This window comes from Homo sapiens, chromosome 9, assembly GCF_000001405.40.
Source record: "Homo sapiens chromosome 9, GRCh38.p14 Primary Assembly".
NCBI classification, from domain to species: domain Eukaryota; kingdom Metazoa; phylum Chordata; class Mammalia; order Primates; family Hominidae; genus Homo; species Homo sapiens.
In genome coordinates this window covers 16,642,887-16,665,372 of record NC_000009.12, presented here as the reverse complement: position 1 = coordinate 16,665,372, position 22,486 = coordinate 16,642,887, and the positions used below count along the sequence as shown (strand labels likewise).

The 22,486-nt window shown below is 38.3% G+C and overlaps 1 protein-coding gene across 37 annotated transcripts in view, besides 1 other annotated feature; it reads left to right on the top strand.

Annotated features, from left to right (window-relative positions):
• The window catches only part of BNC2 (basonuclin zinc finger protein 2), a 461,168-nt gene that overhangs the window by 205,298 nt on the left and 233,384 nt on the right, over positions 1–22,486 (top strand). For 3 of the 37 annotated variants that reach the window (XM_047423503.1, XM_047423516.1, XM_047423504.1), the window contains exon 1: positions 204–308. The exons of 33 other annotated variants lie outside the window; for them this stretch is intronic. In XM_047423503.1, the coding sequence (XP_047279459.1) occupies positions 297–308 (12 nt within the window). In that variant the 5' untranslated portion in view covers positions 204–296. Of the gene's footprint in view, positions 1–203; positions 309–10,957 lie in introns of those variants that run through there. One more of the 37 variants, XM_047423497.1, reaches the window with a different exon arrangement.
• Positions 11,599–12,099: an enhancer, noted in NCBI's record as "H3K27ac hESC enhancer chr9:16653272-16653772 (GRCh37/hg19 assembly coordinates)". NCBI's record gives its function as "activates a minimal SCP1, AML or CMV promoter by ChIP-STARR-seq in primed H9 embryonic stem cells {active_cell/tissue: H9 hESC(primed)}" and the evidence as "EXISTENCE:reporter gene assay evidence [ECO:0000049][PMID:30033119]".

Here is a 22,486-nt window from a genome sequence, read left to right as displayed (position 1 = left end):
TTGAGACAGAGGTTCACTCTTATTGCCCAGGCTGGAGTACAGTGGCACGGTCTTAGCTTACTGCAACCTCCACCTCCTAGGTTCAAGCAGTTCTCCTGCCTCAGCCTCTGGAGTAGCTGGGATTACAGGCATGCACCACCATGCCTGGCTAATTTTTTCTATTTTTAGTAGAAACAGGATTTCACCTTGTTTTTCAGGCTGGTCTCAAACTCCTGACCTCAGGTGATCCACCCGTCTTGGACTTCCAAAGTGCTGGGATTACAGGCGTGAGCCACTGCACCCGGCTGAAAGTTGCTATGATTTCTAAGGTACTTCCTTAATTTATAAAGAAGTTACAGGTCTAGTTTAGGATAGTTGCTGTGATATCTAAGGCACTTCCCTGCTTCTGCCATGAAGCATTGTGCTAATGCTGCCTATAACCTGCCTATTCTGAATTTAAGATTCACTATATTCTGAATCTAAGAATAGGCAGGGTGTAGGCAGCATCAGCACAATGCTTATGGTATAGGTGAAGCATTCTGGTGCTCACATTTCACGTGGACATGAATTCTGAGAGTTTATTCCAGAGCAGAACAGCGTTTTCAGCTGAGGACAACAAAACCTTCTCCTTATTGGGTCTCTTGTAGATCCCCTGTTTTTTTTTGTTTTTGTTTTTTTTTGTTTTTTTTGTTTTTGTTTTTTTCCTGAATACCCTTATTGCCCCTACTTTTATTTTCCTTTCATTTTTATGAATCTGTCATTGATGAGCATCCTACCCAACACCAGACCAGATTAGGATACAGGCAGTTTACAGGAATTTTTACCGCATAGAAACCCTGAAGTTGTAGTTGCTTCCTACAAGGCCAGAAATTCTCTTCAGTGTCCCCAGACAGTCTCAGCTAAAAGGAGAGAGGCCTTGAGCAAAAACTTGGTATAGGCTTATGAGTCAAGACCATGGTTGGATGCAATTGTAGTGGAATTTCTCTGGATAGGAAAGTTCTGGACCCATGAACTTGTGGTTGGGAGGGGTAGTGAGAGTCAGACATTCTGGGCAAAGTGCAGCATTAGGGAAGATTTAGCATGCCTCTGAGCAACAAAATATGTAGATGCCAGCCAGGGAAGGACTGGCGTGGAAAGGAGGGACAACCTTGGGACTCTGAAGTATGTTTAGGAAATCAATAACGTGGAGCATTCCCTATCAAATTCAGTGTTTGAGATGAAATGAATACTGATGTCACAAGTCCAGAGTGTCATTTTTTTGTCGTGGTATTTCCCTTTACATTGGGAAACAGGAGGAATAAAGGCCTATTATTTCGAGAAGCAGGATAAAGGTGGAATCGAGGATCAATGGAGGGTTAAGTTTTCATAACTAATCTCTAATAATAATGGCACGTTAGTTGGGTTAGCCCTTTTCTTGCCAGGGGCTTACCTCCTCCCTTGTTTTGGACCACACATTTAATATAGCAAGACTTTATAGGTAGACTCTAGGCAAGTTTCTATAGGTTTAACAGTACATTTATTCAATGAGGAAATTACTTATTAAGGCAAAAATTTATTTGGAAAAATCTGTTTTCATGTGTCTGCTTTCAGATTTTTTTCTTTCTTATTAAGTAAGGAAATAATATTCACACCTGACTCTTTAAAATTTTGTTCAGTGGATTAGATATCCCAGCAGGCACATTTGAATTGACGCTATTGGACATTATTACTCTTTCTGAGATTTTTGAAATGCTCTTTTGTGTTTTTTACCTGTGTAAAGTCACCGGAATGCAGTTACAGAAATACATAATTTTAGAGCAAATATTCTAAGAACTAGAATATTAGTACCAAGAATATCATAATATTAGAGATCATGAAGTTCAGTCCCTTCTTTTTATAGTATAGTCCAGAATCACAGAGCTGGAATACATAACCTTCTTGGTAAATTAGAAAGAACTCATATTTGTATTAGTTTGAAAACAGAGTGGGCCAGGCATGGTAGCTCACGCCTGTAATCCCAGCACTTTGGGAGGCTGAGGCCAGTGGATCATGAGGTTAGGAGTTTGAGACGAGCCCCAAGATGGTGAAACCCTGTCTCTACTAAAAATACAAAAATTAGCCAGGGACGGTGGCGGGCGCCTGTAATCAGCCCAGCTACTCGGGCGGCTGAGGCAGGAGAATGGCTTGAACCCGGGAGGTGGAGGTTGCAGTGAGCCGGGATTGCGCCACTGCACTCTAGCCTGGGCAACAGGGCAAGACTCCGTCTCCAAAAAAAAAAAAAAAAGAGTAAACAGAGTGGAGTGCCTATGGATCACTGGAATTGAGCGAGCGAGTAGGGGAGGTGTTAGGGATGTTATTGATGAAATCACTTGGCTGTATAGTGAAGCAGATGAGATAATCAGAAAGGGTATAACCAGAATAGACTGTAACCTCCTTGAGGGCAGATCATAAGCTTTCCTTTTTCTATTGCTACTACTGTTTAAGGCACTTACTGCAGGTAATAGCAACTTTAAAAGCATTTGTTTAAAATTATAATAAAAACACATTGATTTAGTAACCTTTTAAGAATGGTGTTTCTAGAGAAGGAAGCAGTAGAAAGTCTCCCTGATTTTATGCCATCAAATATTCATTCCTTTTTCTGTTTTAGGTAGGATATTTTCTCTTGTTTTATTTTATTTTTTGAGACAGTCTCACTCTGTCACCCAGGCTGGAGTGCAGTGGCCTGATCTCAGCTCACTGCAACCTCCACCTCCTGGGTTTAAATGATTCTCCTGCCTCAGCCTCCTGAGTAGCTGAGACTACAGGCATGCACCACCATGTTCAGCTAATTTTTGTATGTTTAGTGGAGACGAGGTTTCACCATATTGGCCAGGCTGGCCTTGAACTCTTGACCTCAGGTGATGCACCTGCCTTGGTCTCCCAAAGTGCTGGAATTACAGACATGAGCCACTACGCTCAGCCCGGGTATTTTCTCTTGTGATGAGTTAAAATCTGGCCAATTACCTCTGACCATGCCTCATTGTAATCAGTATTTATTTTAAGGTATGACTCCTAGAATTTAAATAAAGTATTGGCGATGTGGTGTAATTAGTGTAGAGTAGAATGAGACCTTGCCCTGTTGTACACTTCATAGGTTTGTTGTGTTTACTTTTTTGAGCCATATGCTCTAGAATGTTTTAAATATGTAGCATCACATCATCTACCATTTAGAGGACCAGAATATCTATTCTGAGTACACAAAGTAGACTCATGAACTAATATGTGAATGTTTTCCCCTCTGAAGGAGAAATATTGGGAGTTTAACAGCTTGAGTAGAAATTTCCTTTTGAATGGTTAACCAAACTGGTATCACTTTTAAGGTCCTAAATCCCAATCTGTTTTTCTAGGGAAACATGTTGGCAGCTGTTCGAAATAACTAGTGGTTTAAAGACAATTGTTAGTGTGGTTTTCTACACACTTAAAGCTTAGACCTGCTCTGTCACTTGTCTTTGATGCTAAGGAGTTGTCTAAGTAGTTGAGTTAAATAATTTCAGATTAGTTTTATGCATTAAATGGTTTGGTTTTATTTTTAAAAACCTCTGTTATTATTTAACTCTGTAGTAGACATTTACAAAATAATTTTTCTTATGTGTATTTACATGGACATTAAAAACATCTTAAGAAATTAATTTTATTGATGTTTTTAAGTTCAGGAATGTTCTCACAACAAATCACACACACACAACACATGTAGTCTTTAGAAATAGACATGAAAATAAGATCATTAGATGTTCATGCCTGCTTAATAGGAGTCTCCAAAGCAATAGAAATATTAATATATTGGAACTCTGATGGAGGGAATCCCTGAGTGCAGAGAGGAAACTGATAACACTAAACTTTAATGGCCTCGGAAATTATGAGACAGAGGACTCCAGAGTCTTCTATAATACATACCTTAGCTTTGTTTTCATCTCTGGGGAACTAACATACAGCTATATAGTATACTGATCACTTCCCCATATACTATTGAAGTCAGTCTCCAAGTAAACTTGTGATTTAGTAAGGGCAGGTGGTACATGCTGTTTTATAAATGAGGAAACTGGTTGAGAGAGTTTATGTGGTTTATCCAAGTAAGTTCAAACAGTTAATAAGGACTAGCTATAGTAAGACTTAAAACCTAGGGTTTTTTTGTTAGAAGATGAGTATATTACCCATTACATCTGTTCTTCTGATGATACAGGAATGAGGTAAGGGCTCACACCTTCTTTCTCTCTAGGAATGAAGAAAGGAACCCCTAGGTTGTAAAATCAATTTTACCACATGACGTTGGGAAGGTTAATTGCTTTTCTTGAGCCTCAGTTTCCTTACATTTAAAATGGGAATAATGGTATATACACTTTAGAATATTTAGGATTAAGTTAGATCATCTACAGTCATCCTTCAGTATCTGTAGAGAATTGGTTCCAGGACCTCCCTCAAATACCAAAATTTGAGGACGGTTTAGTTCCTTATAAATGGCATTACTATGCATATAATCTATGTCCATCCTCCCGTACACTTGAAATCATCTCTATATTACTTACAATACATAGTATAATATAAAATGTAAATACTATGTAAATAATTGGTATACTGTATTGATTTTTAAATTACTATTATTTTTATTGTTGTGTTGTTATTTTTTTTTCCTGAGTATTTTCAATCTGCAGTTGGTTGAATTCATGGATGCAGAACCCACAGATACAGAGGGCCTATTGTATAGCAGTCATATTGGCTGGCACATTCTGTGGAAACTTAGTTTTTCCCCCTTTTTGTCCTTTCTCTTTTTCTGCTATCCAATAAAGTTTGGCTTTGTTTGTGAAGGCTAATTATAGTCCGTGCTATTGGATACCTTAGGCAGCTTATGTTCTGCTAAAGAGTAGGAGGTGCACACATAAACAAGGAACTAATACAAAGTGGTATGTATTTTTTTTTTTTTTTTGAGATGGACTTTCGCTCTTATGGCCCAGTCTGGAGTGCAGTGGCACGATCTCAGCTCACTGCAACTTCTGCCTCCCAGGTTCAAGCTATTCTCCTTCCTCAGCCTCCCTAGTAGCTGGGATTACAGGCGTGTGCCACCACGCCTGGTTAATTTTGTATTTTTAGTAGAGACAGAGTTTCTCCATGTTGGACAGGCTGGTCTTGAACTGCCAACCTCAGGTGATCCGCCCGACTCGGCCTCCCGAAGTGCTGGGATTACAGGCTTGAGCCACCGCGCCCGGCCCCAAAGATGTGTAATTTTCAAGGGGAAGTCCAAGACATTGTGGGCAAGGGATGCAAAGTGCTAGTAAATAGTACAATTGGAGAACAACTAATTATGGGGTCCCTAGTGTGAGTAAAACTTATTTGGGGGTGAGATGTTAGATTTGTAAAATATTTTGCAGGGAATAATTTGGCTGAATACAGATATTAACTGAACATATAATTCTGTTTCAGGCATCTATTTGGTTGCTGGAGGTACAGTGTAACAAAGTCCTTTCCCCTTGGAGATTATATTCTAGTGGAGAAGACAAATAGTAAAGAACATATAAGATAGGGAGTATAATAAGGGCTATGAAGAAAAAAGCAGAGAATAAGGGGATGGGAAGTGAGGCTAGAGAGGAGCCTGTTATTTTACATCGTGTGGCCAAGAAAAGCAACGCTGAGGAGATGACAGTTGAGCAGAGAACTGAATAAAATGAGAGAGCAAGCCCTGCACAGATCAAGGGAAGAATATTCTAGCAGAGAGAACAACAATGACAAAGACCCTGATGCAGAAACAAGCTTGGTAATTTTTTTTTTTTTTTTTTTGAGACGGAGTCTCGCTCTGTCACCGGGCTGGAGTGCAGTGGTGCAATCTCGGCTAACTTCAATTTCCGCCTCCTGGGTTCAAGCGATTCTCCTGCCTCAGCCTCCCGAGTAGCTGGGATTACAGGCATGCACCACCACACACAGCTAATTTTTGTGTTTTTAGTAGAGATGGGGTTTCACCATGTTGGCCAGGATGGTCTCAATCTCCTGACCTCCTGATCTGCCCACCTCGGCCCCCCAAAGTGCTGTGATTACGCGTGAGCCACTGTGCCCGCCGCAAGCTTGGGATTTTGAGAAGCAGCGTGGTTGCCAGTGAACAGGGGTCCTGAAATTGCAGAAGGGCACGATGAAACGGAGAGCCCTTTTACATGGCGGTACAATAGAATTTGACTGTAATACTATTGTCAGGGCCCTCTGCATTAAGTCAGTGCACGTGTGTGCATTCACATGCCCCCCCCCGCCATCCATCTGCCATTTACCCACACCTGTCCATCTATCCATCCATTCAGCCATTCAGCAAATATTTATTGAGTACCTCTCTTAAGTTAGCCACTGTTCTAGGACCTAGCTCTCAAATGAATTCATGCTTAAGTTTAATCACATTCAAAAAAAGAGACAGTTGCGATGATCAATGGTTTGTGTATCGGCGTAATGTATTTTTCTGATCCTAGTTGATGATTTTAAGACAATGTAAACTGTCACCTTAAAATCTAATGTGTCCTTCAGCCATTGCTTTTTAGAGGGAAAAGAGTGTAAGAGAAAAAAGTTGGGTGGGGGGTGTGGGCATAAGAAAGAGTGCCTTCAACATCTGGGTAAAGAGAGCACTGGTTATTTGGTAGCTGGATTGTCTGTTCTGGGATAGTTGGTAAATTAGCTGTGAGGCAAAGTACAGTCTTTCCTTAAGAGACAGACCAAGTTGTTTATTGATGCTGGGGAGGAAAAGGGCTGGGCACATGCTTATAAGACCTATGATCTTTCCCAGAATTTGGAAGGATAAGAGAATTGTTAAGAATTTGACATTGGAACTGTTCCCTCTAATTGTGGCTTAGACCATTTGATGGGAAAAAAAATATTAAGGAATCCAGGAGGTGATATGCTGAACAATATGGGGACTATTCACGGTGAAAACAAGCATTTACCCAAGCATTTGACCAGGGTAATGTGTGTTTTAGTTTCAGGTAGTAGAAACTGAAGTGGCTTTGTTTCACAGTGACATTTAGGAACATTGACTAAAATATACTGGGCTGTTTAAAGTTTTGTTTTCTTTTTTCCCCCTCTCCCTTACAGTACTCCCCCTGACTCCAAATTCTCCAGCCTTATAGCTGTTTCCATGTTTTGAGATTACTGCAAAAACACTTAATGGCACACATATGAAAATTTTTGTAAATGTCTAAATAGTTTAACAATGAAAATTTTCACTCATTCTACATGTATTACTGATTTGGAGAATTTCTAAATTGCTGCACAGTTTTATTGCAATGTAGAGATGTCCCCATTCCCTTGCAAATTAGTAAATTAGGATCTCCTTCTACCTCTGAGTGCTATGGATGCCATCCCTTCTCTTGTCCCGAAATTCCGGTCTATTATTGAACTTCTGTTTATTCTACTTAGGGGGTTGATTCCTTTAAAAGTGTATTATTACATATATTAAACATAAGAATTTTAGAAAATCAGAGATTACAAAAAGCAGGAACATCATCTGTAACCCTAACTGGCCTGCCCTAAGATCAACACACCTATGTATCCCAAGTAGCCCCCACAAATTATGCTTCAGGTGACATCATAGTATGATATATAATATTGATATGATGTAATGTCATTGATGCATTTGTGTATTTGTATGTCTGATATTATGAACAGCCTTCTATCATCTTTAAGAGTCTGCACATTATTCCATTATATGGATAAAACAGTTCTCCTAGAGTTTATTTCTAATTCTTTCCTATTATTAATACACGATAAGCCTCTTTCTGGTCCAAGCACATTCCCTTCAGCCTACTGATGGCCAAGTCACACCTCTGTTTCCATCTGGCAGTCCCTTTCTCTCAACTTCCATTCAGAACTCAGCCTTTAGAAAGAGGACATAAAAAATTTGTTTCCTCTTCTGCCTTAGCCTCCCACAGTCTAGCTTCTGTTTCTTGTCTTCTCCACAACAACAGCTCTGGAGCGCTGACCTCTCATCTGAAGCATATTGTAGAAGCGTTTCTGTTTTTTTTACTTATTTCTCTGTGACATTTGATGCCACTGACCACTTTTGCTCCACCTTTAAGTCTTTGGATTTTCTAACTCTTCATTGTTCCAGTTCAATCTTTATTTTTCTGACTCCTTGTTTTCTAGTTCATCTTTGTATCCTTTTAAACATAAATCTTTTCCAGGTATTCTATACTGGGTTTTCACCTGCACACTTGGGGTAGTTGTACTCATTCCCATTATTTTAAATTTCTGCAGATTTGATGTTAACTGCCCACCTGTTTCTCCAACCCAGGCTTCTCTGTAGGGCTCCATATTTGTATGGAGCTCTCTCGGTTGATCCACTTCAAAACTAAGCCAGTCAGAAGCTAAATTTTTAGTGTCTACCCTTGCCCCACTATAGTCAGCCTCCACCGTTCTTTAAATAGCATCACCATCTGGCTAGAAACCAGAAAGTCAGCTTAGACTTGTCCTTCTCCCTAGCTCATACCTCCTTCCCCAATTTTAAATGGCAACTGACTTCTGTTTCCCCATTCATTATTCTGCATCCCCAGTGCCTCTAATCTTGTAAAGATTCCCTCTGTGAGGAGTTGTTTTGAATGGGTATAAATTTAGTTATATAAGATGAATAAGTCCCAGAGATCTGCTGTACAACATATTGCCTACAGTTAACAATATGATATTGTGCATCTAGAAATTTGTTAAGACAGTACTTCTCATGTTAAGCATTCATACCACAAAACAAAAACAAATAAAACCCTAAAGGTCCACATGGAAGCTTTTGGAGATGATGAATATGTTTATTATTCTGGTTGTGGTGATGGTAGCATGAATGCATACATATATCCAAACTCACCAAATTGTAGACATTAATTTTGTGTGGTTTTTTGTATACCAGTTATACCTCAGCAAATCTTGAGGTGAGGGAGCCTTCCATTATTTCTTGACTTCAGACTCCACTTTCAACATTCTTGAGGCTGTTTCTCCTACTGGTACTGTGAATTCTGTCTCTCCCCACCCCCGAATCCTACCATCAGTTCTCCTGGTGCATCGAATGAGACAGAAACTCCTCAGCATGGGTGGCCCCATTGTCGTCCCTTTGTCCTTTCTTGTAACCACTTTTCTTGTCTCCTGCTTTTACGGGTGAGTAGAGTTCTCCCTTTCCTCCATTCTCGAGGTAGAATTAAGCACATTCTCTTCTGTGTTCCCTGAGCACCTACACACAGGGTTACTCAGCCTTGGAACTGGTAACATTTTGTGTTGGATAATTCTTTGTGCTACACTGTGGGATATTCAGCAGCTTCTTGACCTCTACTCATAGCTACCAGTAACTGTCCTCCACACTCAGTTGTGACAACCAAAAGTGTCTCCAGACATTCCCAGTGTTTCCTGGGTGACAAACCTCCCCTATTAAGAACACTGCCTTGTATGTGCCTCTTCTGAAGTACTTACAATGCGTGGCGAATATGTCCACACGTGTCCATCTTCATTCTGTCAGAGGTCAGTACATCTGTGGCTTCTAGAACAGTACTGAGATCAGAGTGGCCCCCAGTCAGCACGTGTTCTTTGCTGCCTGACTGTGCATGCCAGGACAGTCGTTCGCTGCTGCTCTAGACAAATGAGAAAGGAAAGTCAGCAATTGTGGAGAATTTTGCCATTTGGAACAGTTTGGTAGTTTGATAAAAGGCTTTGCTTTGTAATAAGTGAATTCAAGGAAAATATTCTATAATAGGCACGTGAGGGAAGTTGTATAATATCTTTTGTTAGAATTATTTCAAAAAGAGACTCGATTTTTTAAAAGTCTGATTCATTCATTTAATTAATTTGTCAGTAATGCTTGAATTTTGTTTTGTGCTAGGGACTTTTTTTATTCCTGGATGAAATAGTCCTGCCTTTTTATGGCCTTTTAGACTTTTCAGATAGATAGTCAAGGAGGAACTGTAATACAGTGAGATAAAATAAGTCACTGCAGGGGAGATTTCCAAGATAGTTACCTGAGTCTCATACTGTCGGCAGATGCGGCCTGCAGGTGTGTATAGGGGCAAATTCCAAGTAATCTTAATACATTGATGCTTTGTAGGATTTAGCAATAAGCACTGTCCCCCCATATTTGCTTTTATTCATCTTTATTTTAGTGAATTTGGAGAATTTGTGTTTTAAGATAGTGGCTTAAAATTAGCATGGTCATGAAGCATTTAATATTTCCTTTATGCTGTATCGTAATGATTTTCCCTCCCCCAGTTTTTTCCTCCTTTACTTGAATTTCTGTAATATGAAGCATAATGTGGCAAGGATTCTGATCTCGTGGCCTAGTCTGTCTGCAGAGGTGTATGTGAGTGAGACCCCTTTTAATCATTCGTATAATGATTGGTGGCTCCCTGTTGTTAAACCACAGTTATTGATCTATCATTTCTGAAGTACATGGCTGAAGGAACTGGTGCTGTCAGGCATTGATTGACTAGGAAGGAAGTGTAGAGCTATTCTAACTCACTTTTATTTTCATCAGCAACAGTTACAGTAGAGACTTGTGCAAGACCTCCATGATGGAACGTCATTTTTCCTGCATTAAGAGGTGTCTGATGTGACTGAAATTGCTGGGATAACTCAAACTGCTGCATTTAAAATATTTAGAACAGAATACACTGTCCAAAACCTTCTTATCTGACTTGGCTAATGGTTCAGGCTCTGGAAAATAAATTTGGGGGCATGGGGGATGGGTAAAAAAGAACAGATCTAGTATAAAATTGTTCCAAAGCAAATTGAGCAACCTATATGTTAATATTTTACTGAAGAAGTATATCTACACAAATTAACTCAGACAAAACAAGTGTGTTTTTGTGTAAGTTAAATTGTTTAATGGCTGTTCAAATAATTAAGTTCAAGTCATAATTAATAGCTGTCTTTTGGTACTGTTGTTATGTTTTGGTCTGTTTCAGGAGGATTTGGGACCTGCATGCGCAAATATTTTAGATAAGGATATAAACTGAAGATAGTAAAGGTAATTATTAAAAGTGCCTCTCTTTCATTAGCACAACTTACGTACATTTTAACATCTGAGATGAGCATTGTTTATTTTAATGGACTCTTTAATAATGCTTATGTTATGCCCTGAACTCTAGTTAGAATGAAAATGAGCAAGAACAACAAAAATAAATGGTGTTGGGGTTCGGCAGAGGAAAGATGGGAGGAGTGCATTAAGAGAGTGAAACCAAAAGAGAGGACAAAAAATACAATTTCTACTGTAGTTGCCTAAGAGCCTGTGCTTTTGTCCCTCTCTCTGAATGTTTTATTTTTGCTATAATTACAGCATCTTGCCTGCACTTTGTCCCTCTGATCCTTTGTTAAAGCCCAGATCACTCTGTGCAGACTGCGCTTGTAGGTGTGATTTATTGAGTGACAAGTAGCTGTAGGGTAGAACACCCGCCTCTGTACCTGAGTAAAGTATTAGACATCACAGAGCTGGGGCAGGCAGGAGGGGGGCCGAGGAAGGAGTGGGGGAGGCGAAAAGCAAAGAGCAGTAACACAGCAGCTCCTGGATACAGATCAGACAAGAGGTTCTGCCACAAATCACCTAGAAACATGTCAGACGCTGCATGTTTGTTGTTTTACACTGAGGGCACAGCCGTAGTCCAAAAGTATTGATTCTTTTCTTTGTACAGAGACAGAGACTGTCAGACCTAGCAGGCTGACCTTGGTATGGTGCAGACAACTATTCCCCACCCTGCCGACCAGATGAACCCCACAGGAGCAGCCTAGGCAAGATATGCCAATGTCCACTTCACAGGCACAGAGAGAAACCGATGCCTGCTGAAACGGCTCCTTCTGTTTCCCAAACACTTCCCCCGCCAGGCCCCCAGAGTGCTCCTTGTGACAGAAAATTGGAGGCAGGATTCTTGGAGGGAGCGTGTGTGCTTTTTTGTGTGTGTCTTAAAACACACAAAAAGAAGCCCTTTTTATTTCATTTGTCCGTGAGATAAACTGAAGGATGTCTGGGCAATGGTGTATATGTGTGCATTTTGTATTTAAGGCGGCAAGAGGAGATAGTTTATTTTCTGTTTGTACATATCGAAGGGGAGATTTCTGTGTGTGGGCACTTACATTTGTGAGTGCGTGTGTTTCCCCTCTTCTCTATTTCAAAAGCTTTGGTGAGATGGGGAAGAGTAATCAACTGTCACACTTAATTGATCTGCAGTTATTTTAAAAGTTGTTTAACAGTAAAACTACACAGACCCATTTGTCCATATGAATCTGCAGGTCTCTTTATAGTCTTAAAATTCACTGTACTCTTAAGTCATTTTGCAGCATTTAAAAAATTCATTTATTCTGAAAATCAGGTAATTTTAAACTAAAAATACTAGTTTGTAATTTGGAGATCATCTAATATAAATAGAAACATATAACCGCCAACATTTTGAAATCAAGAGTTCAAAACTTGATCCCGTAAACCATTAGGGAGTAGGGCCCACAGGGTGCCCTTGAGGAAGTATACCCTATCTCCTGTTGGGCTTGGTGTGTCAAGACTTCGGTTTGCCAGAAATGCTTGCCTCCAAGTAGAAGGTGTTTCAGTTACTCTTTGCTGAAGCTGAGTGTTTTATTTTGACTAACAATAACAGGGAGGATGCCTTTCTCCCTTTCACTTTTAGGAATGTTGTTGCATGCACAACTTCTGTCCATAAGATTGAGCTGTCCATGAGGAAAAACTCCAGTAGATTTCAGATTTGCCCGAAGGAAAATATGAGGCACACTGATGGGGAAGAAAAGTGATGATATCATGTGCACTTAGGGTGTAAAAACCTCTCCTTTAAAAACGAGGTTTCTCTTTTTCAAGTAAAATAATGCAGACAGGTTCAATGTGTGTAATACTATATTACATTTGTATAATTCACTTTAAATCTTTTATTAAAGTGAATTTTTCAAAAAGTAGACCACTGAAGATAAAAATAACAAGTAAGGCATTCACTTTCGTGAAAAGCCCCATTATTTTCTACATCTCCATTTTCACATTCATCCTATTTGTTTAAGTGACTGGTTTGGCAACCTAAAAGAAAACCCAATGGTTAAAAAAAAACATTTGTTTTATAGTTAGTTTTTACTTGTTTTTATAGTATGAGATCTCTGTGTAGTATTGAGTTTTGCAGACTCCTGAGAGAAAAAAAATTCTAATAAAAGTGCTATTATCTGAAAACAATGACTCAATTAATTATTTTGGTTTCTTATGTTGATTCTAAATATTTCTTGTTTCTCTTTGTTGGGTCTTTATGTCTCATCCAAAACAGATTTACATTTTGAGGTTAGAAACAGCTGAACAAGTCTGCCTTTGGGTATTAACAAAATAAGCAAACTATTTAGGATATATCAATGTCTTTACAAAAGGATATTCCACTTATAAAATGGGAGCTGAGGAACACATATGCTGTGTAAGAAATACCATCTAAGAAAAATAATGCATAGAATAGATTAGGAATGGTTTAAGATCTGAACACTCAGGATTGGTATTTCTTAACACTCTATTTTTTATTTTAATATATACATGCTAATCGTCTTTCTCTCTTCTCCGTATATGTTATAGTCACTTGATTTACTACTGAAATTATATTGCTTTTGAAAGTGTCAGTTGAGTTATCCCTTGCCTTGTTAGTATCATGTTTGATTTCTTGGACAGAGACATAAATCACTATCTCATATGCAGGTCTTTTGAAGACGCACCCAAGGTTTATTGCCAGTAACAGACTAGTGGCCTTATGTGGACTTTCCATGAATAAAACAGATTGATGAGCCATTTTATAGCATCGCAAGCTGTATTATAAATACATCACCCTTTTCAGTAATTTAACGTGAGGAACAGCCTAATGAGCTCCCAGCCATGATCAGCCAGAGCTGGGAGTTTTGTTTAGCTTCTAGGACAAGTGACTGGTGGAGGGTAAGAAACCCAAACCCTGTATTGTTTTCCCCAGTTCTGTGACAAAATCTTGTAATATGAATCATTTGAAGTAATAGTAAAGTAAAGATGCATTTAGAATCTGTCAGAGTAATAAAGGGAAATGTAAAGTGGGTCTGATTTTGCTTATAGCTGAAATCTAAGGTTAAGATGATAGGCTTTTTAAGTTACTTGTTTTTCTTTTACTGATTGAAGTCATCAATTGAATAAACAGATTCTCATTTTGAAATATACATGATGTAATATCTACCTGATAGCTTGGAAAAGGAACAGGTAGATATAGTTACAACATCGTAACGGTCTCTTTTGAAAGTATAGCTTAAGATGACCATTGTTTCTGTATTCAAGCCTTCTTTTTTGCATAGCTTACAACACTTTACCTTTATTTTTTCATTAATCCTTAAAATATCCCTGTGGAATAGGATGAGTGGGTGGCATCTTAGGGTAAACAGTTACTATCCTTTCTGGTGAGGAAACCGAGGCATATAGAAATGGTTGTTTTTAAAGAGTTATCTGACTAGAAAGAAAAGCAAGATAAAATTAATTTTTAGAAGTGAAAAATATTTTGCATTACGTATAGCACATGTCAATATTTACAAAACTTACACAAACATAACTTTGTGGACCTATAATTTTCTAAAAGTTTGGAAAGTAGGCGACACTTAGGATTGGAAAAGGCATAGCTTTGTGAATAATTTTTTTGCTACCTGGAAGCTGCAATATATTTTGAGCTAGAAGCTTCTATAAGATATTTCCCTTTTCTGAATGCAATTGATTATGCTATACTGCATAATACTACATTTACCTATATATAATCCAGTTAAAGCTGTATTACATATTTATAGAAGTCAGACTTTGGTCTGAAATGCCATTATTTATAAACACAAATCAGTGAGTAATTAGTCTACTGTGTAAAAAAAATAAAAAAAAATTTTGAAATAATCTTTTCTACTGTGAAAACAGCCAGGCAGTTTGGTGGACTCTGTTATTCATATGTCAGACGGGAATTACCTTGAGTGTACAGGGAAGAATGAAGAACTGAAAAGGCTTTAATTTTCTTTAAAGAATAGGTAAAAACAGAATATTTTACCACTAAGGCATGAACACATCAGTGATGCCCTAACCAGTTGAGCTCAGTCCTGCCTACACTGAGACACAATGCACTTTCAATTTAAAAATACATCTAATTTAAATGGAATGGTCCTATTTATGCCCTCTGTTCCTTATTAAAAATGGTCGACAAGTAAAATTCCGTTTAAGAATACCTGCAGACAGTCAATATTGTTTTGAATTTTAAAGAGTTCCTGTGTCTTGTGAATGACATTATGCCTTTAATATTCCGTATTCAGGGCAGAGTCCTTTTGAAACCAACTGTGCATTTATCTCCATTTTTGCTTTCTTGGTCTTTGCCTTCCTCTGCCATGCACCCAGGGTTGAGTGCTGACTGCAGGTCTAAGCTTATCAGATTGGATGAACCTCTTCGGTGTCTCCATTTTGGAAACTGTGGGTGAGAATTTAATGTTCCCCTAGCCCACACTTTGAAAATGCAAGATTACAGAAGATTTATGAAGGCCTCTGTGTCTCCATAGCTCTGTTCTTTGGGGTACCTCTGAAGTTTACTACTGAGCGAATGATCTTGGCATGTTAGTATAGGCTGAGCCAAAGTTTGTGCTATATTATTTATGATTCTATAGCATTGGCCTCTCAAACAAATGAAGTTTATTGACGTATCATCTGGAACAAAATTTTGGCTAATTCATAATTTATACATCAGAAATAGATGCCTTTCTCTTATAGATTGTGCCACTTGAACATAAAATAAGATTTTAAGATTAAAAGAAACAGAGGCCTGTAGAAGTGGCTTTTCAAGCTTGTAGTCACTGATGGTTTTTTAATCCCTAAACAACACAAAACAAAGGAAGACAGAATATGCTTTTCCCTCTCCCATACTTCCCTTTTCTGTCTCTAATTGTAAGCTCTTGTGCACCAGTGCTCCTACTTTTCCTCTGAGTTTAGTGATAGTTCATAAGAAAAGCATTAGGCTTATGGAAAGAAAGATCTGTCGCCAGTGGACTTGATTCTCCCTTGTGATTTATAAGGGTCTGAGAAAGCAGTCTTCCAGGTCTTCTCTTCTCAAGGACTCTGGGAAAGTCTTGTTCAAAACTAATGGTTCTTAAAGAATTGGTCAGCTGCAGACCACTGGCCTCTCAAAACACTGGGTGGTTCAGGTGGATAGCACACACTGCTTTGCAACTCCAAGATGCAGTGGGTGTGCTGGGGCCCGTGAGTCCGTCCTGGAAGACCTTTGGAAATTCTGTGTTAGTCAGGCTCATTCTCTTTCACTTGATGTGCGCACAGATTTTTGTAGAAATCATTTGATATCCCAGTAGTGTACAAAGCATGGGATGATATATGCATTCACACACTTACATATCAAAGATACACTTCTTCTATGTTTTTGTCTTTCATACAGAGTCTAAGGCGACTAAGTCGTTATGCTATTTTAGCACATAAAGATATCATTGGTTTTAACTCAAAGTGATTGACTCAAACTATATTTTTATCATAGTTTGAGTACCTCATACTTGTTCACTGCCCTTATGTGCATGGTCACCTTTAGAGGGCATAATTCTGCTAAAAAACTATTCCTAATGAATTGCAAATGGAGATGAGTTAAGTAAGCTGTGTTAATTATGTCATTTGCAAGATTGTCTAATGTGGAATTGGTCAAGAGACTGGAAACTGCTTGTCAAATGTTTCTCTTAACTAATGTGATAGTTTGTGGTTTGCAGGTGACACAATTTCCATAACTTATTTGATGGAGCCTCATTAACCACCCCTTAGTTCGCCTTAGCAAAATTATGTTATTAAACATGTCATGATAAGTTCTGTCCTCATTACTTTGCATTCGGCACAGTGAATAGTGTTTGTCTTGTGACACCTCTCCCAGGTCCTTAGTCTTCGAGGAAGCCAAAGGAATTCCATGTTCAGAATTGTGTTTTTAAGCTGCTTTCCAGCATTACACACATCTCTCTTGACTTGGCTAATAGAACCTGGATGTGTTCTCAATCACTGCTATCACCATGCAGTCCTTATTTAGCCCTCTGTCATTTCTCCTCAGAGCTTGGTGTCCTGATGTTCTACTGTCTTAAATAGAAACCCAAAGAATCTCTGAACCATATAGTTTTAGTTAAAAACAGCCAAGTGTATGGCAGTAGTAACTGTGATGATAATTCCAGTAGTGGAGCAGTTTTCGTTTTTCATAGCATCTGCCTCATCTAGGAAATCTTCACATTAGCAGCAGAGCATTTATCTCTCTAGTGAATAATTTTTATGTTTGCCCATGTTTGTTGCTTAGTGCTGAGAAACTTCATATGTCTTTTTTTAAACACACACACACACATATTTTATTGCGTACATTGGTGACTCTCTGTAATTTTGTCTTCAAAGGGACCAGTCTCAGAGATACTTTACAGTGATTGCCTTTTAGTATTTAGTTTCTGTCACTTAATTTTTTCTGGTGGTGGGAATTCATTTTTGTTAATGTATAAAATTTTTCAAAATTGGGAGATGGTTGAATAAGATTAGAAATATAGTTCATGGCAGTGGAATAGACTAGCTAATCCACAAGTGAACTGGAATAGCATATTGATCTAAATGTATAAGATACCTTTATTAAACCTGCCTAAGAGGATCATATTTAATATTTATTTTCTAGTGAGCAGTATTGTACTTACTAAATTGATGGGAATACACATATTGATGAATCTCTTATATTTTACTTGAAAAATTCTGTTGAAGGCTACTTTATCCTTTAACCTGATAAACCCTCTCTCTCCCTCATTCTCAAAAATCTCATCATGGTTGCACTTGGATCAAGCTTCTTCATAAAGTCATTGTCATCTTACACTTTTCCCAGAAGCGTCACCCTAGGGGAAAAATGATTGTGTAATAGAAAAACTCTCTCTGCATTCTATGCATTGACCATTCATTATCTTCCATTTGGCTACCCTTTGACCTCCTTTCCCTGAGCCACATAGCTAACCAGGTCGGCCTCTGTCAAAGTCTGTCTAAGGATGTTATTCTTCCTGTGGTCTCCCTTTTTCTTTCTACCTTCTACCGGCCCCCACCCGTACCACACACATTCCGCCAATTCTCTGTGCAGACTTGACATAAGATTCCACCCCAATCCTTGTTATGTAACCTACCACCTACCCCTTTTTGGCAAGGGACACCCGAGTCAGCAAGTTGCAACAAAGAGTGGAGTTAATTGGAACATGTGCTGTGCCCAAATCTCAACAAAGAAGGGCTGATAGACATCAGGAAAACACAACCATATGTAGATGTTTGCTTGAGGAATATGAGTGTACATGGGAAATATCATCTACAACCAGGTTGCATTTAAATAAAATCAACCATCATTCTCCTCTTTGTCTTCCGACACCCCTTTCCCCCACATGTAATACTTTTAACTTGCTCTCTCATGTCTGCTCATGGGTGGGCATGGTCTACTAAACTGACAAATGAAACAGATCTGTCTGTGATACTTCATATGGGGAACCTTATGTAACTTATGCGGGGGACTCAGCTATGGATGACATCCCAGTAGACCCTCTATGGATTCCCAGCTGTTACAATATCTCATACCCTTTGTGACCTTTTCTTCTATTTTTGCATCCCTTTTAGAAATTTAGGATTTTTTTAATTTAACCCCGAATTTCTTAAATGTGGGTACAATTTACACAGAATGAAATAGACCCATTTTAAGTGTACAGTTTATGAGTTGTGACAAAATGTGTATACTCATATTAAACTATCGCCCCAACCAAAGTACGTATCATTTTCTTTACCCCATAATGTTCCCTTATGCCTTTTCCAGTTAATCTCCTTTCCCCTAAGGCAACCATTATTTTGATTTGTCACAATAGATTCATTTTACCTGTTCAAGAACTTTATATAAATTGGATCATACAGTATGTACTATGTTGTGTCTGGCTTTTTTTGTTTGTTTTTCTCATATTGTTGTGTGTATTAGTAGTTTGTGTCTTCTTTATTACCAAGTAGTATTTCACTGTAAACAACAGCCATTTAAAAAATGAATATTTAGACATATTTTATGAGTTGTTTCTATATAGTGGAGACATCTTAAAATTGCAGCAACTCTTGAGTTTAACAAATAGTTGACTGTCATCAGACTTTCACTTTTTTACTACTTCCCTGCCCAAGGGTGCTGGAATTCCCCAGCTGTGGGCTGAATGCCCATCCCAAATTCTCAGGCTTCTGGGTATTCTTGGTTCACATCCTGAACTTCAGAAGGAATGGTGACCTCCAGTTCACTGAGATGGTTTAGAACATCTTAAAACTTTTGCTATCCTCACTTACGTTGTGAAACTGTTTTGCTAACTGGAAGGTAGACGTGTTGCTGTGTACAAGTGAGGATTCTGAAACAATACGAAGGCCTTTTCAGAACCCTGTGGAATGACCTGAAAGGAACTTTGTCTTTGAGCGTCTCCTGATGTGTATTTTCGATAATGTATCCTGCCCTCAGTGTTTTTCTCTGTAGGTTTTAAAGGCCTCAGAAGTCCCAGAATGGTTCTGGACCTGAGTTGCTACTTGAGAGGATCTTGTAATCCTGCTGGTCTCTAGATACCTTTAGGACAGAAGTGCTGGGTGATTAGGTTAATAATACTTATTCTTTATTAAACTATTTAACCATTATAAGCAATATGCTAAGAATTTATGTACATTAATTTATATATAATCTAACATCCTGTTTATGTTAATACTGTTATTATTCCCACTTGCTAGCTGAGGAAACTAAGCCTAAATAACTTACCCATGGTTATACAACTCTTGTGCTGTGATGGGACAAGGATGTGATTCCAGATCTGACATCCAGTCCCACCAACATTCTATTCTAAGTCCCACAAATACTTTCTGGACATCTCCTCCCAAGTATAAAATAGACAGTGTGGTAATGTACATGTGTTTAGTATTGGGTATAAAATATCCAGTGTAATATAATTGTTAAGCTATTGAATATTATGAAAAGTATAAAAATGTGACGTGAACTGGAGCCTCTAACTGCATTGAATTCTTTTCATTTAAGGGTCTTAGAACATGTGAAAAGGCAGAAAATAATAATTTTTTATAAAGAATAGTAGTAAGAACTGTTGTGCACATTTTGAAGGTGAAGATTTTGAGACAAGATTCTTTAACTTTTCCACAGCAATATAGAGTTAGAAGAAACCTAGACTGTCTCCCTGTGCCTCTTCCTCTACTCTTTCAAATCTTCTTTTTCTCTTATCCAAGCCAAGGTTCAAGGAACATTATTAATTGTTATCTTTTTTACCTGCAAGTCATAGACAAGGACTAGAGAAATTCTTGTATGTGTTAAGAGTTTACCTAAGAGACTATTATGACAGCAGTCAGGAATGATTTCTTTAAAGTATGTAAATGTAGCGTCTTCATTATGGCTTAGATTTACAATGCTGACGACTTTGTGAAGCAGAGAAAGTTGAAGAGTTAGGGGCTGCTTTACGAAGTGTACTTTGGAACAGTTTCTAGTTTCTTTCAAACTTTGAATTGAAAGAGAAAAAGCAAAGTAAGTACCTAAATCAGCACTAGCCAAAAGAAAAGAAAGAGAAAGAGAAAAGAAACCTGCACAAGGCAGCAGCTACTCTCCATTGGGAAGCTCATCCCCTCCTTGACAGTTGCTGGGCTGGCTGTGCAATGTTTGATATGTGCTACTTATTTACTGTCTTTCTGTTTCTCTCTTGATGCTCTTAGACTGACACTGTGTTAACTGTCTTATGCCACTGATTACATCTTTCCTTTCATCTTTGTTATGACTAGTTTAAAGGATAAATGGTGATTTTCTATAAACACAATACATAAGCTTAAAGAAAAAGATGAACATTTTAGAGAATTTGGGATTATTCAGAATCCCTATGACTATAAATGACTTAGCATATCTAGAATGCACCGAGTTGATTTATTTTTTTCTATTAATAGTCATCATGATTAGATAGTACCAGCTTTAATTTTAAGTTTTGTTGCCTGTGAAGTTTATTTTCAATGCTCAATACCATCCAAGAGAGAATCTTGTTTAAAAATTTTAATCAAAACATATTTAAGGTGCTTGGAACCTAAGGGATCACTTGATTCAACCTTGTCATTTCTCTGTTCATCTTGCAATAACTTGAGGGGGCCACCTAAGGTTATTCTAGATATCTAGATTCTTTTCCTCTTCTTGCCCCTTGACTCCATTGATAAATTGAGAATGAAAATATCTCTCTGGAATATCTTTTGATTTGGTATGTATAGGAAACTTTGATATCATTGTAGAAAGGCAGAATAGAAATAAAAGATATTTCAAAGTCTTTTGATGTAGGTTACCATTTGTAAATCTGTGAATCTCTGCTTTGACTTCCTGAAAGGTTATCAGAAAGCTCTTCTAAGGTTCTCTTGGGGTACTTATTACAGGCGTATAGGTGTAGCCCTACCCCATTCCACACCTCCCATAGGTTCTTCTGAAAGTTTATGGTGTTAAGAGAACTCAAGATTTTTAAAACTGGCTACTTGTTCCTATTGTTCTTGAGGAAAATTGTGCTGAAGACAGCTGTTTGAAGATTTCTTTAATATAAAATCTTTAATCTTAAACCATGCTGAGGAAGGTCAGTTTGGGGCAGAAAAAGAGCCATGTATTTGTCCCATTTACTCCAGAAGAAGCTAAAAATGATTTTTGAATAGCAGCTACCCTTATAAGTACCAAGAAACATCAGATGTGATTGCTGCTTTTCACATGCTTAGAATATAATTTCTCCATATTTTTTCATGCAAAAAAAGCAAAGAATTCTAGAATTAAAAATAAGAGGGACCTAAGATCATATATGGTGCAGCTCCTAAGATGCTACACCATAACCAGTGTAAAAGTTGAATCTTTGCTGGAGGGGGCTATGCGTGGATATTTTTTTCACTTTCCGTAGGTGATTCAAATGTATAGCCAAGGTTGAAAACCAGGAATGTGGATTCCAGACCAGCCTTTCTTACTTATGTTTGGGGTTGCTGAGACTTACAGAAAGTAAAATTATTCTGTGAGTAGATAACTAATTATTTGAGACCCAAATTCTGGTCTCCCAGAATTTGGTACCTCATTTTTTTTTTTTTTTTTGAGACAGAGTCTTGCTCTTTCACCCAGGCTGGAGTGCATTGTCGTGATCTTGGCTCACTGCAACCTCCACTTCCCAGGTTCAAGCGATTCTCCTGCCTCAGCCTCCCGAGTAGCTGGGATTATAGGTACGCACCACCATGCCCGGCTAACCTCATACGTTTTAATCCCAAATTAATGCCAGCTCTATATAGAAAAGACAGGTCTGTGATCATTATTCATCTGTGTAGTTTTCTTTCTACTGTGATAATCATAGCTCAGTTTAGGGAGCACTTACTGTTGGCCTGGCACCATGACAGCAGTTTTACAGGGTTACTTTCTTAATTAAGTATACTCATATTCTCGTTTCACAAATGAGGAAACAGGCCCAAAGAGAAAGTAACTTGTCTACATTTTTAGAGCAAGAGTAAGTGGAGGTGCTG